At 39.5% G+C, this 14,905-nt stretch overlaps 1 protein-coding gene across 107 annotated transcripts in view, besides 2 other annotated features; it reads left to right on the top strand.

The window, feature by feature from the left end:
- Positions 1 to 14,905, top strand: part of NRCAM (neuronal cell adhesion molecule) — a 309,072-nt gene that overhangs the window by 261,160 nt on the left and 33,007 nt on the right. For 69 of the 107 annotated variants that reach the window (NR_163867.1, NR_163869.1, NR_163868.1 and 66 more), the window contains 9 exons: positions 1,133 to 1,299; positions 1,390 to 1,537; positions 3,708 to 3,832; positions 4,278 to 4,307; positions 5,815 to 5,916; positions 10,947 to 11,144; positions 11,250 to 11,320; positions 12,641 to 12,866; positions 13,624 to 13,739. Coding sequence is in view for 102 of the 107 variants with exons in the window: in NM_001371122.1 (NP_001358051.1) it covers positions 1,133 to 1,299; positions 1,390 to 1,537; positions 3,708 to 3,832; positions 4,278 to 4,307; positions 5,815 to 5,916; positions 10,947 to 11,144; positions 11,250 to 11,320; positions 12,641 to 12,866; positions 13,624 to 13,739 (1,183 nt within the window). In the remaining 5 variants the exon portion in view is untranslated. Of the gene's footprint in view, positions 1 to 1,132; positions 1,300 to 1,389; positions 1,538 to 3,707; positions 3,833 to 4,277; positions 4,308 to 5,814; positions 5,917 to 10,874; positions 11,145 to 11,249; positions 11,321 to 12,640; positions 12,867 to 13,623; positions 13,740 to 14,905 lie in introns of all 107 variants that reach the window. The other 38 variants (NR_163871.1, NM_001371151.1, NM_001371148.1 and 35 more) reach the window with 2 other exon arrangements.
- Positions 3,677 to 3,858: a silencer, noted in NCBI's record as "fragment chr7:107832147-107832328 (GRCh37/hg19 assembly coordinates)". NCBI's record gives its function as "represses an EF-1alpha promoter that drives an FKBP-Casp9 reporter gene in an ReSE screen in HepG2 liver carcinoma cells {active_cell/tissue: HepG2}" and the evidence as "EXISTENCE:reporter gene assay evidence [ECO:0000049][PMID:32094911]".
- Positions 13,500 to 14,292: an enhancer, noted in NCBI's record as "OCT4-NANOG hESC enhancer chr7:107821713-107822505 (GRCh37/hg19 assembly coordinates)". NCBI's record gives its function as "activates a minimal SCP1, AML or CMV promoter by ChIP-STARR-seq in naive H9 embryonic stem cells {active_cell/tissue: H9 hESC(naive)}" and the evidence as "EXISTENCE:reporter gene assay evidence [ECO:0000049][PMID:30033119]".

The raw sequence follows: 14,905 nt of genomic DNA, 5'->3' as shown, positions 1-14,905 counted from the left end.
CACTGCAGCCTCTGCCTCCTGGGTTCAAGCATATCTCCTGCCTCAGCCTCTAGAGTATCTGGGCCTACAGCCGCCTACCACCACACCTGGCTAATTTTTTGTATTTTTAGGGTTTCACCATGTTGGCCAGGCTAATCTCAAACTCGTAACCTCAGATTATCCGCCCGCCTCAGCCTCCCAAAGTGCTGGGATTATAGGTATGAGCCACTGTGCTTGGCCTACACTGTTAATTATTAAATTCATTCATTATTTCACAAATATTTATTAACTACTGGCTCTGTGTTAAATACTTTCATGTGTATAATCTATTTAGCAGCACACTCTATCAAGCACAGATCTACATGTAAATGATTTTTTTTTAAATTTAAGGCTGCTGTATTTCACAATGCCATGGACATCCCCTGGGATTTTGTGAGTAGTGGCTGGAGGGACTAGTTAGGGGATATTCCTTGATAATAAAATATTCTGTGGTATAGTGGGGGGGTTCTATAAGCTCCAAAGCAGAATTTGTTCTTACCATTGTTTCTCTTGAGTACTTGTTGCACCAGGTCTTCCTGACTTGGATCCAGCCAAGCTCTCCCATGTTCTTTTACTCCCCACTTCAGACCATCCCCTTTCATATGCCACCCGAGGTTTAAGTCCTCTACCTCCTCCTAGCTTGTTTACTTTAGCTGAAAGAGACAAGGCTAGGATGGATGAGCAATGGCTCAGAAGGAATGAATGAAAGAAAACTGGAACATTCTTTACTGATCATCTGTCAGGTCCTAGATGCTGTGCTAAGTTCCAACTACTGAGGTCAGAATATATGCAGGGTTAAGATTAAAGGAAAATTTCCCTTGGCCCCTACCTTAACCCCAGAGAAGAAAAATGGATGCTTATGCAGATGATTTTCCTAGTGAAGGTAACAGATTCACACTCACTTTGTTTCATCCGTTTCACTTCTCCTCTCTGACATACATGCCTTTTTTTCTTCCCTGGTTATTTTCCTATTGATACTTTCAAAAGTACAATCCTTCTAGCCTTGCAACTTTCACATTCATCATGGTCATGTTGACCTTGAACATGGCATTTTATGTCTGACTTCAAAATATAATGTGTTTTTATTCTCATTGTGATAATTTCTGTAATGAAGGTTTAAAGGAGCTAAAGGAAGTGCTCTTCATGAAGATATTTATGTTTTACATGAAAATGGAACTTTGGAAATTCCTGTGGCCCAAAAGGACAGTACAGGAACTTATACGTGTGTTGCAAGGAATAAATTAGGGATGGCGAAGAATGAAGTTCACTTAGAAATCAAAGGTAAGGCAGAGGTAATGTGTTTAATTTTTAAATGACTTTGAACAAATTCTCCAGCTTTGCCAAATGGATAACGATGACTCTACATTTCAGATCCTACATGGATCGTTAAACAGCCCGAATATGCAGTTGTGCAAAGAGGGAGCATGGTGTCCTTTGAATGCAAAGTGAAACATGATCACACCTTATCCCTCACTGTCCTGTGGCTGAAGGACAACAGGGAACTGCCCAGTGATGAAAGGTATTTGAAGACGATTTCTTTACTTTCTCTTCATTCTTTCTTTAAGCTATTCTTGAACTAAAGGTCTACTATGTAGTCAATTATGGTGATGTTTTTAGTTTCTGAAGTCTGCTGTCTCCAAAATAGAGAGATAAGCATTTTCTCCCTACTGTAAAATATATGCACCCAAGAAGGTATCAGGTGATTGAAATAGGACCCTGAGAATGTTTGTCTATCTTTGCGTGCTGGTCTCTTGTGTAATTCAGGATGGGAAAAAACCCTCAGGCCTGGACAGCATCCATTGTTTTATACCTTGAACAGCGAAGTCTCAACAGATGTTTTCATTACCTTTCTACAAATAAGCAGAAATATGACCTCTTTAATCACCAAAGACTGCTCAAATCCTTGTCAGTATTTTAAGACACTCGTTTTTATTTGGATAGGGAGTTTTTCTTTTGATTTTACCTAAAGCCAGTGAAAGGGGAAGGAAAAACAAAAACAGGTAGAGCATTTAAAAGAGCCCAAGCATGCTGCAGATTTCATTAAGAATGGAAGAAAGGTCATGGCATTTTCCAGATGAGACCCTCAATTTGACATAGTAGTACAGAGTAGATATGTGTTAGTTTTAGCAAAGTGGCTATAGGCCTCACTCTCTATTAGAAGGAATGCTGTATTCTGGTCGAAATCATTTGTGTGGTTCACCTACAGCTGACCTAAAATTGTGGTGCCTAAATATTGCCCTGTTGCTTGTCAATGACCCTGGAAGAACTCTGTGGCCTTCTCTTTTATGTGCCTAGAGTCTCCATCTAATTTTATGCTTGAACTAGTCAATTTTATTTGTTGAGTTGATAAAGATGAAAAGGTGTGGTGGTCTCACACCTGTGGTCCCAGCTACCTGGGAGGCTGAGGTGGGAGAATTACCTGGGCCCAGAAGGTTGAGACTCCAGTGAGCCATGACTGTACCACTGCACTCCAGCCTGGGTGACAGAGTGAGACCCTGTCTTTAAGATTAAAAGGAAACATAAAGAAATGACCATCAGGTTAAGGTGGCTGAAGCTTTTACTTGGAAATTAACTGAGAAGACAGTTTATGACTTAGGCAGTTTCATTAAAATAATACACTAATTCTCTATACATTAATTTTTTGATCTACTGAGCAATTTTTCATGCCCACAAGTTCCCTCTAGAAAAGTCTTAGAGAGATTGTTCATCTAAATCTTCCTGTTTCTAGTGATAAAGCAAATTATTATTCTTTGCATTTAATTTCTCCTATGAGAGTTTATACATGTAAGAAAATGACATGATTTTCTGCAGTAAATAATAAAGTATTTAAAATATATACTTTGATAGAAATTGAACTGAATGAGTGGTTTTCCAATGTTTCTTGGCAGCAAAAGCCTTAGTAAAGCCCTTTAGTAAGGCTAATGCTGGAACTATTCTTCGCCTCCTTCCCCTGGGAACTTAAGGAAGCTCCTTCCTCTCCCTCTAGAGCAGTGGTCCCCAACCTTTTTGGCACCAGGGACTGGTTTCATGGAAGACAGTTTTTCCACGGACAGGGTGGGGGCACAATGGCTTCAGGATGATTCAAGCACATTACATTTACTGTGCACTTTATTTCTATTATTATTATGTTGTAATATGTATATACATATATATATTATTACATGTAATATATACAGTGACAGATCATCAGGCATTAGATTGTCATAGGAGAGCACAGTCTAGATCTAGATCTCTCACTTGCACAGTTCACAATAGGGTTCACCTTCCTGTGAGAATCTAATGCTGCCACTAATCTGACAGGAGGCGGAGCTCAGCTTCACTCGCCCCATTCCCCTGGGGCCTAAGGAAACTCCTACCACACCCTCTAGAGCAGCGGTCCCCTCTGCAGCCCAGTTCCTAACAGGACAGTACCCAGTTCTTGGCCCAGGGTTTGGGGACCCGTGCTCTAGAGGCCTGGTTGAAAAATACTGTGCCAGAGGACATATCCCTTCTAACCCAATATTCTAATTGATTCTCATTGTTTTTCAACTTTAATCATTCTTAAAGTGATATGTATTTTGCTCTAACTTTTGAAAGTGTTTACCATCTTTCTCCTTTATCAAATTTACAGTTTTTTTCCTGCCAGTGAAGCAATTATAGGGTACGGCTGCATGTCCATTTCAGCTGCTCTGAATGCATTCTATCCACAGGTTCACTGTTGACAAGGATCATCTAGTGGTAGCTGATGTCAGTGACGATGACAGCGGGACCTACACGTGTGTGGCCAACACCACTCTGGACAGCGTCTCCGCCAGCGCTGTGCTTAGCGTTGTTGGTAAGAACGAAAACAAAAATAGCACAACTGGCTTCCCTGCATTTGGTTGAAAAGAAAAAATAAGATAAAAATTATAAATATCAAATATTTGCTTGTTAATATGCATGGGTGAGTTCATACCCATGTTTTTCTTCTTTGAAAGATGCCTTGGAGGCAATAATTTCAGTATAAATAGACTGTGTAGCAGCACTGGGTGAAATGGTGGATATGCACATTAGTAACCTTTTTTGTAATAAAATAAGGAGAAATGATCTACTTGTATCTAAAATTGAAGGTTTTTTTTCCTAAATTGTTACTGCATGTTTATCAATGCTGTGTCTCACAGCTAAGCATAGGGCTTAATTTTATAACCTTGAATAATGTACAGTCTTTGTCATCTTGTGCTATCTTGTATCTTTCCATTACTAATTTTGATTAAAATCCTTTATATTAATGTCCTTTCTAGCTCCTACTCCAACTCCAGCTCCCGTTTACGGTAAACTAATATGAGTCTTCTTTCTCTGTTTTCTGTCAAACAATTTCACATTTGCAGAAAGTATTCATAACTTTCTTTTCTATGTCACATAATTGTGTTTCTTAAGGAAAAGGTCTCTGTCAGTTGTTATGTTGTGTCACCCATTTACTGACAATGAATCATTTCTTCATCATAACCACAGATTTTTCACCAAGTTCGTTGCCAGTTCTTTCTAAATAGTTCATGTGCTATTATAAAATCACTTCGTTTGATAAAAGTCCCTCTTTGATGCAATTTCCTTTTAAAGTAGCATAGTGCTTTTTCAAAAGCCATCATCCACATTTTACAGAATGAAAAAGCTATTTCTAATATCATTCTACAAATTAGGCTTTCATCTCAATTTATTAAAAGTTGTTTGGGAAAAATCTTGTTTTGGGATTCCATTTTCAAGAAATGTATATGGGGAAAAATAGATGTTTAGAACAACATTTAACTTTTATATCAGAGAAAACCGACTCACCATGTGTTAACAAAAGACAAATCACTCAAGAAAGACCAAAAGGAGGGGCACATTTATGTTGTGTGGCTTTTTAGAATCTGGAAAATAAGTCAGAAATCATTTCCAGAAATCTTTTTATTTAGAGAACCTTCATCTTTATTCAGTACGTCAATACAAAAATCAATTTTTGGCATCTCAGCTGATTTTGCACAATATTATTAATATTGTGTCTAATTATCCAATATAAAACCTGTGCTTTGTAGACATTTACTGCTTTATGACTGATAAGAAAAAAAAGCACATATATTTGTATGGTCTCTGGTCCCCTAAGAGCCAGAGATACTCCTAGGAGCAAGGTCAAATAAAGGCCTGGGGGGAACAGTAACTCTCTGGATCTCAGAAGCACCATTAGAAGAGGCAGACATGCTTCTAGGACACCTTCATCTCGACATGTGTCTGTCTATACACTGTTGTCCTCTGGGAGTAAACACACTTATGCATGCTGAGGGCTACCTCCATAGCATCTATTTCAGCATTCTTTCGCAAATATAAATATTCTTTCAGAGCCCCAAAATCTGTTATTCAGCATTTTTTTTAGAAAGAACATTTGAATTTTCTTTAAACAGCACCTTTTATTTGCCTGTATTTCTTTTTTCAGCAGTTGCTTTCTCTATTTCCCATGTATTAGAAATTAAGCTTATTATTTTTCATGTTTGTGCCCATTCATGTTTATGAGAAGAAACGCTGAGAGTGCTGATGAACCACATGTGTCTGCTTCACTGGGTTTGGTTACAAATGCTTTCGTTTCCTTTGAAAAACAAGTGAGCAGAACTCATTGATGGGTTATCTTGTGTGTGTTCGTGTGTTCCCAGCAGCCTCAGCTGTGCACATTTCCTTTCAGTTGCATGCTCATTGACTATCAAGTGTGCTGTGTCTTTAAGATGTCCCCTCTGTGAATAGTATCACGAGTAAAGGAGAGCCTCTTAAAGATGGATGCGTGACCATGATGTGTGTATGTTTGGTCTACAGATGTCCCAAATCCTCCCTTTGACTTAGAACTGACAGATCAACTTGACAAAAGTGTTCAGCTGTCATGGACCCCAGGCGATGACAACAATAGCCCCATTACAAGTATGTGGTATTATTTGCTCTATTTCCGATCAACTAAATGGCCATGTTTGAAGCACTTTGTAACAGTCAGCTGAATTTCCTCACAAAGGTATTTACTGGGATTCTCTGCTTCATTACTGATAGAATAAAAATATTTATTTATGTCCTTCCTCTCTTCAGAGCTGAAACTATTCCTGGTTACACCTTCTAGAATAGGACACCCCTTAATTGCTGAAGATGTTGACTAATCAAATACACTGTCATTTGTGTTTAAGATCCATAAAAATCACTTTAAATATCTACCATGTAGGAAGATACACCTTAAGTTAGTTGTTTATTTTGCCCATTTCTTCTGGGAGAAAATGTTAGGAGGAGCAAGTGCTGAATAGCTCTGTCTTCCTATTAGGAAACTGATACTTGATGAGTAAAGTAACTTTTCAACCCCCTGTTGGTAACAGAACTGGGCGTAGATAACAGGTTCTACCTTAACTTCCAACCTAGGTCTCTTTCTTTCCATTAGTCCCTGCTACAAAGTTGCCCATTCAACAATGTGAGCTTCTCACGTTGGTGACACAAGCCTAGGGCCTAGGAAATAAGATAAGGAAGGACAATGTCATAAGGATACTAGAAGAGCATAATAAAATTAGACTATAGGTAAGCTTCGAAGTTGAATTGTAAAACCAAAGAGATACTTAAGAGGCAGACACAATCAGGTCACATGCCTGAAATACATTATTACCTTCAGGCATATACCGCAGGAAGACAATTCCTTTCTGATGACTACCTAAGATGATTCTGAAATGATAGGTGTGTTGATTTATTGCACCTCCTGGTAAAGTAGAATATTTCCACTAAAATTTAACAAAAGCCCCTCCTCTATCTTGTGTTGTTTAATGGTGCTCTTTTCCCTACTTGAGTGTTCAATGTCCTTGATCAGAACACAAATTCATCCAGGCCCAGTCTTCTAGCTCATTGGGTACATTAGCCAGAGTTAGCTGGTTAGATGGCTTGGAGACTCTTTTTTCCTATATTAAAATAATACCATTAGATTTCAAGGCATTTCTACTCTTTCATTCATTTACTCATTCATTCAACAGATATTTTTGAGTGCCTACTGTGTGCCAGACATTGTTCTAAAACAAAATAGTCAAAAATCTCTGTGGTAATGGAGCTTATATTTTAGATGAGGATATAAATAAGATAAAATTAATAATACATTATTAAGCATAATTTCATTATATCTGCATGTAAACATATGTATATATACACACACACACACACACACAGAGGACTCAGATCTACCTTCAAGGGCGAACCTGCTGTAAGGAGTGTTAACCCACAGCCTCCATCTGCTTCTCCTTCTCTAAGGCTCCACTGCAGAGTTCACGTGAGGCCATGCTCCTTGGGGTGCTCCAGTGACTGGGCACAGCAAAGGTCCCAGAAGTCACACGTGCCTAATGCAGAACTCCTCCTGTGTAGACTGTACTCTGGGCTCCTGGTTGACCTGGCTGAGACTATCCCAGAGCTATACTATACTGTAGTCTGAGGCTTCTTCTACTCACTCCTCCTTCCCTCCCCCACTTCCTGTTACAGATGTCAGACCAGCATTGTGGTCTGAAGGTCTTCCCTCCTTCAGGCTTCCTTGCTTCCTCTCCCTTTTTTCTTCCATGGACATTTTCCCAAATAGACCTCTTGCACTTCTTTTTTTTTTGAGACGGAGTCTCGCTTTGTTGCCCAGGCTGGAGTGCAGTGGCGCGATCTCGGCTCACTGCAAGCTCTGCCTCCCGGGTTCACGCCATTCTCCTGCCTCAGCTTCCCGAGTAGCTGGGACTACAGGCGCCCGCCACCACACCCGGCTACTTTTTTTTTTGTATTTTTAGTAGAGATGGGGTTTTGCCGTACTAGCCAGAATGGTCTCAATCTCCCGACCTCGTGATCCACCCGCCTCGGCCTCCCAAAGTGCTGGGATTACAGGCGTGAGCCACTGCGCCCGGCCACCTCTTGCACTTCTAATTCTGTCTTAGCCTTTGCTCCCTAGAGGACTCAAACTCATATATATCTATTAATACATATGACTGTGTTTATATGTGTTTAGGGCATGCAAAAAACAAATCAGCAGAAAGACATGTGGAGCTAGGGGTATAATTGTGAATAGTGTGAATAGGAAAGGCCACACTAAAAGAACATTTGAATGTGTCAATCAAGACAGGGGAGGGAGGTCAGTGAGCACACTATGCAGTTGTCTAGGGGAAGAACTTTCCAGCAAGAGCAAAGGAAAAGAGCAAAGGCCCTAAGACAGGGCATGTCTGCTAGGATGCCAGTGTGGCTGCAGTGAAATGAAAAAGGGAAAGTGAGGGCGGAGAGAAGGTCAAAGAGCTGAAGAGTTCGGTGGTGGGTGTGTAGAGTGGGAATTGTGCAAGGTCCTGTAGGCCACTGTGAAGATGGGAAAGCCCTTGGAGGGTTTTAACAGAGGAGTGATGAATGAATAACTCTGGCTTGTCTATTGAAAATAGTGTATAGAAGAACAAGAGGGGAAGCAGACAGACTGGGTAAGACCATGGTTCCCAAACTGTGCACTGAAGTGCCCTGTGGTACTTCAGTGAATTCACAGGGTACCTTCCTTGGAATAATTTTAAAGTTTTAACTTTTAAATTCTGATATTAAAAAAACACAGTGACATCTGTCAAACGTCACATGAAATTAGCTTGAGGCAGATTACAGGTTCAACTTTATATCCCATGTCATTTTGTGATAATGTTATATCTCTGCAAAGCGTTTGCTGTGATAAAAAGCAAGTGCCACATGGAAATCAGTGGGGAATAGGAAATGTGGAAGGTGGTGTCCAATCTGTTTACAAGGTTTGAGAACTTATATAAGAGAAGCTTTACAATGTTAAGATATAAATAGATTTAAAATTGTTTAAAATTAAATTGCTTACATTTATTTAAGATATAAATACATATAAAGATGTATGAACCTAGCTACTTAATACCTGAAAACATTAGGTAATTCTTTTGGCCTAAGGGAGCCATGAAAAATAAATTATGGAGACACTAAGTACACCATGAACCGAGAAAGTTTGGGAACTACTGAGTTAGGAGGTTATGTGATAACTCACACAAGAGATGAGGGTGGCCTGGAATAGGCTGAGAAATGGTCAGATTTTGGATATATTTTAATGGTACAGGCCATTGTACTACAGAGAGTGTGGAAGAAGTAGGGAAATAAGAAGGATTCCAGATTTTGACCTGGGCTGTCACTATCAATTGGAGAGGAAGATTAGAATTAGTTTTGGTACTATCCAGTTTGAGATGCTGTCATGGACAACCAAGTGGAATTGTCGAGCAGACAGTTGGACTTCCTGAGTCTGCAGTTCAGGGAAGAGGTCTGGGCTACAGATGTAAACATGAAAGTCATCCATTTATAGGACTGGAGATCATCCAAAGATGAATGTGGATTGAAAGGAGAACTCCAAGGACTTAGTTTTGAACCACTGCAAGACATATAATATTTTTAGTTCATCTTTGTGTTTATAGTGCATATCATGGTACCTGGCACATAGTAGGCAATCAGTGAATATCCAAATACCTATTATTTTACAAGGGTAAAGTGTGTACACACCACAGAATTTTAGTGGACGCAGAGGGTATGCACTGAAAAATATGTCTTCCTCCCGCCCCTGTCTCCCAGCTCCTCTGGCCACACCAATGTTATAGGTTTATATTCTCTGAGAGGTAATATGCATTTATATGCAAGTGAATATGTCTGTTTATTTGTTGTAGTAATTTCGTTTTACATTTACACAAGCATAGTATCCAGCACACACGATTCTATACCCTGCTTGGCTGCTTGGTTTCACTTAATAATACACTTTAGAAATCATTCCATTTCAGTACGTATGGAACAGCCCTATTCTTTTTTTTTTTTTTTCCTCTCTCTCTCTCTTTTTTGAGACAGGGTTTCACTCTGTCCAGGCTGGAGTGCAGTGGCTTGATCATGGTTCACTGCAGCCTTGACTTTCTGGGCTCAGGTGATCCTCCTAGCTCAGCCTCCCCCATAGCTGGAACTATAGGTGCACGCCACCACACCCAGTTAACTTTCTGTAGAGACGGGGTTTTGCTAGGTTGCCCAGGTTGTCTCAGACTCCTGGACTCCATCCACCTGGGTCTCCCAAAGTGCTGAGATTACAGGTGTGAGCCACCGCACTTGGCTGACAGTCATTTTTAACAGCTTCAGAGTATTCCATTGTGTGGACCTAGTGTAATTTGTTTAGTCAGTGTCCTGTTGATGGATGTTTAGGTTGTTTGCAATTAGGTTGTTTCAATTGCAAATAATACTACAATGTAAATTATTTCTCATGTGTGTTTGAGCCATTTGTGTGAGCCCATTTATTCAAAATAAATTGCCAGAAGTGAAATTTAGTATGCGCCTTAAATATTGACAGATTTTCTAAACTGTCTTATATAGAAGTTGTCCCAACTTACACTTCCTACAAAGTCAGAGAATGCTTGATTCCTTGTGTCATAGTCAACGAAGTGTGTTAAACCTTTGATTATTGCCAATATGTTTAGTGGAAAATGGCACTCACTATATTTAATTTATCCTATTATGAAAAAAATTTGATCATCTTTTCATATATTTAAACTTTTTAGGGATATATGGATTAATTCTAAACAGTTTTAAGTAACTAAATTCAGCATGCTAGAGAAAGAATACCAGATTTGGTAAAATCTAAAACTGTTTAGAATTAATCCATATATCCCTAAAAAGTTTAAATATATGAAAAGGTGGTCAAATTTTTTTTGTAATAGGAGAAATTAAATTAAATACAGTGAGATGCCATTTTTCCACTAAAATGTTATCATGTGTGTTTATATGTTGAGGATAATGACAACTCTGAAATCAAAATATTTTAATGGCATTTTTCTTGAAAGTAAAATAATTCATGTTTGGTTGCTTGTGTTGGGTTGCCCTGTTAGTTATTGCTGGCAGCTACCCCTGAGTTGACTGAATTCACGGTCTTGGGTTTGGTGTGTGTGTGTCGTGACCAGAATTCATCATCGAATATGAAGATGCAATGCACAAGCCAGGGCTGTGGCACCACCAAACTGAAGTTTCTGGAACACAGACCACAGCCCAGCTGAAGCTGTCTCCTTACGTGAACTACTCCTTCCGCGTGATGGCAGTGAACAGCATTGGGAAGAGCTTGCCCAGCGAGGCGTCTGAGCAGTATTTGACGAAAGCCTCAGGTAAAGCGGGAAAGCGGGACTTCTAGGGTACGAAATATAATAAAAAAGTTTTCCACTCTTCGCAAAAGGCCAAAGCTTACACATGTGTGGCTGCTTAACTTCCAGAACCAGATAAAAACCCCACAGCTGTGGAAGGACTGGGATCAGAGCCTGATAATTTGGTGATTACGTGGAAGGTGAGCTATGATGCCTTCAAATTTATTCGCTATTTTTTAGAGTGAAAAAAAAGTTGTTTGAAAATAATATCTACATTAGAATCTCATTTCACCTATTTCTGGGGAAAAAAAATATATATATATATATAAAGATACATATATATCTTTACTTAAGAGGCAGTATTATATAGTTGCTAAAAGCTTGAGCTCTGGAGTCAAAATGATTTGGTGCAAATCCCAGCTCTGCCACTAACTCTGTGATCTTAGGCCAGTTGTTTAACATGTCTGTTAGGCAGCTGTATGATGGGAGTAATAATAGAACCAATTTCACAGTATTAAAGGAGCTAATACATATAAAGCACCTAGAACAGTGCCTAGCATATACACATGCTCAAAAAAATGCTAGCTAGTGTTATCATAAAGAACCACCTGGGGCCAGTAGCTCACGCCTATAATCCCAGCACTTTGGGAGGCCGAGGCGGGCAGATCATGAGGTCAGGAGTTTGAGACCAGCCTGACCAACATGGTGAAACCCCGTCTCTACTAAAAATACAAAAATTAGCCGGGTGTAGTGCTGCATGCCTGTAATCCCAGCTACTCAGGAGGCTGAGGCAGGAGAATCGCTTGAACCCAGGAGGCGGAGGTTGCAGTGCGCCGAGATTACACCACTGCACTCCAGCCTGGGTGACAGAGCAAGATTCCATCTCCAAAAAGAAAAAAAAAGAGCCACCTGGAAGACATGCACCAAGCCATTCCCAGCAGTCAACTTCTTTAGTGGGGAAAGCTTATCTGTGTTTTCTGGATTTGGAAAATTAACATATATTTACTCATAATTCAAAACCTATTTTAGAGCCATACATGCATACTTAGACATGTATACATATATGTACATACTTATATTTATACAAACATGTAGAAACAACAGAATGACAGGCTAGCCTTTTTTTAATAAAGAGGAAAACAGTCTAAGTTTCCATCTGCAAATAAAATGGACAATGATGTACTATTGCACAAACAGGAATATAAAAAGGATTCTATGTGACCGAAATGTCTAAAGAATCACCATCCTTGACGGTAGAGCCAGAGTTTGAAAGGTTTATGTGATATTTATTGCATCAAGATAGTAGTTTACAACCTTTGAAATGTTGATCCCAAACAAGCTTTGAATCTCATTGCAAATGCACAATTGATAGAAGGTCCCTGGAGAAAATGGTTAATAGCTTGTGTTTTAGTATTTCAATGATCACTTTCTGTAGGTCTGGGAATTGAATTTGCTGTTCCTGTAAAAGATTGTGCAGTTGATTTGTGTTATAAGCTCTGGTTATTTGGCTTTCCTTGTAGCCCTTGAATGGTTTCGAATCTAATGGGCCAGGCCTTCAGTACAAAGTTAGCTGGCGCCAGAAAGATGGTGATGATGAATGGACATCTGTGGTTGTGGCAAATGTATCCAAATATATTGTCTCAGGCACGCCAACCTTTGTTCCATACCTGATCAAAGTTCAGGCCCTGAATGACATGGGGTTTGCCCCCGAGCCAGCTGTAGTCATGGGACATTCTGGAGAAGACCGTAAGTGATGCCATTTCCTACTTTTCCCCAGCAAAACAGACTTACCAAGGTGCAAGCCAAGGCCATTTCTCCTTGCTCAGGTTGCAAGGGAGGGAGGTGGCAATTATTTTGCACGACTTCTCTGAATTTAAACAGCCTGCTGTGTAAGAAAGAGAAGTTCAGAACGTTCAAGGTGATTGCAGTATAGTTGTCCCTTGGTATCCACAGGGGATTGGTTCCAGGATGCCCTGCCTTGGATACCCAAATCTGCAAATACTCAAGTCCCACAGATAGCCCTATGGAACCCTCCTATATGAAATATCAGCCCTCCATGTCCGTGGGTTTTGCACCCAGGAATACTGTGTTTTCCATCTTCTTTGGCTGTAGATGCAGAACCTGCAGATGTAGAGGGCTGACTGTATTTTGGGGGGAAAAAAAAATCCAAGTGTAAGTGGACCCATGCAGTTCAAACCCGTGTTGTTCAAGGGTCAATTGTACTTTTTAAAAAATCGTGTTTTCCTACTCACTGATGGTGGGAGGATCCCTTGAGTCAAGGAATTTGAGTCTAGCCTGGGCAACATAGCAAGATGCCATCTCTTAAAAAAAAAAAATCTCTCACAAAGTCAAACAGATACCCCAAAATCTGTGTTCAAGCCTTAATAATCCATAGAATAGGTCTGCAGTATGCTTCAAGCCAAAATTATTAGAGAGAGTCATATTTATGGATGAAATTAAAAATAACATTGATACTTCTACCACTTCCCTGTCCTTTTCCTAGTCCCAATGGTGGCTCCTGGGAACGTGCGTGTGAATGTGGTGAACAGTACCTTAGCCGAGGTGCACTGGGACCCAGTACCTCTGAAAAGCATCCGAGGACACCTACAAGGCTATCGGGCAAGTGAAAGGGGACCTTTTGTGGCTTTATTTAGTAAGGGCTGCAGCGAATGCCACTTGTCATGCATACCACAGGAGGTGGGGCTTATTTGTTTCATTGCTTTGTGAACTTGTGGACTGAAGAGTTCATTTCGCTCATTGCCTCAGGTAGCCACTGCCAGAGTTGACTTGAAATCTCACTGCATCCAAAATTAAAAAAAAAAAAAGTTTTCTCCATTTTTCCCACTGATGATCTAACATTCTACCAACTAAGTATGTATACAAAATGGGGAAAATTAATTTTTTAAAGACCTAGAATATTACCAACTCTAGCTAGCTTTAAAGCAATATGGACCACATGTGTTGAACACACAAAATTATCCTGATAATCATTTAGGCATTTTTAAAATAATTCAGAATATACTTTAAGACCATATACTCTTAGCTAGGTCATTCTTATAAATATCCATTATCTTTGTTCTTGAGAAGTACTGAAAGATAAATATCCATTATCTTTGTTCTTGAGAGGCACTGATTTCATATTTTTTACTGATAGGCAGCCAAGCGTACAGTCACTACTTTGATTTGTTAAGCCTGACCCCTAGAGGTCACTTTTTGTACTACATCACATTCAACTTTTTTTTTTTCCCCCTAGCATTGCCAGATTCCATGTAAATGTTGACTTCTCCTGAAAATGCCTTTAAATTCATAAGAATTTAAGAAGACTTAGTAAACAACAATTCTGGATTTGTGACCAAAATTAATCAGTACTTTCTTATCCATCTCTCCAAAACCTGTGCCTGCAATCGAATACAAAAAAAAGTATTTTAAACTAAGTGATACAGTTTGATTTAGTGGAAAAATTCTAGACTTTCAGTGGAGGATCCCCTGTGGCTCTTGATACCTCTGTGGCTGTGAAAGTCACTTAGTAGCCCACACGTTCATCTGCACCATATGAATAACAGTAATAAAAGCCTCACTGTGGTGTTTACAATCACTACATGATAGGTTGTACGTGAACATGTATTAATTCTGGAAAAATATGTAAACATTGGGCAGTAATTTTTATTTTTAGAATATTTTATACAAGTAAAAGACTTAAATCCTATTGTCCTCCATTTGCCTCATGTTCTAGAGAAAACCACATGGGTCTCGTGCTGTTTTCATTTTCCTTAGACTCCTACGAC

Source organism: Homo sapiens, chromosome 7, assembly GCF_000001405.40.
Source record: "Homo sapiens chromosome 7, GRCh38.p14 Primary Assembly".
Lineage (NCBI taxonomy): Eukaryota > Metazoa > Chordata > Mammalia > Primates > Hominidae > Homo > Homo sapiens.
This window is presented reverse-complemented; position numbering and strand designations above follow the sequence as displayed.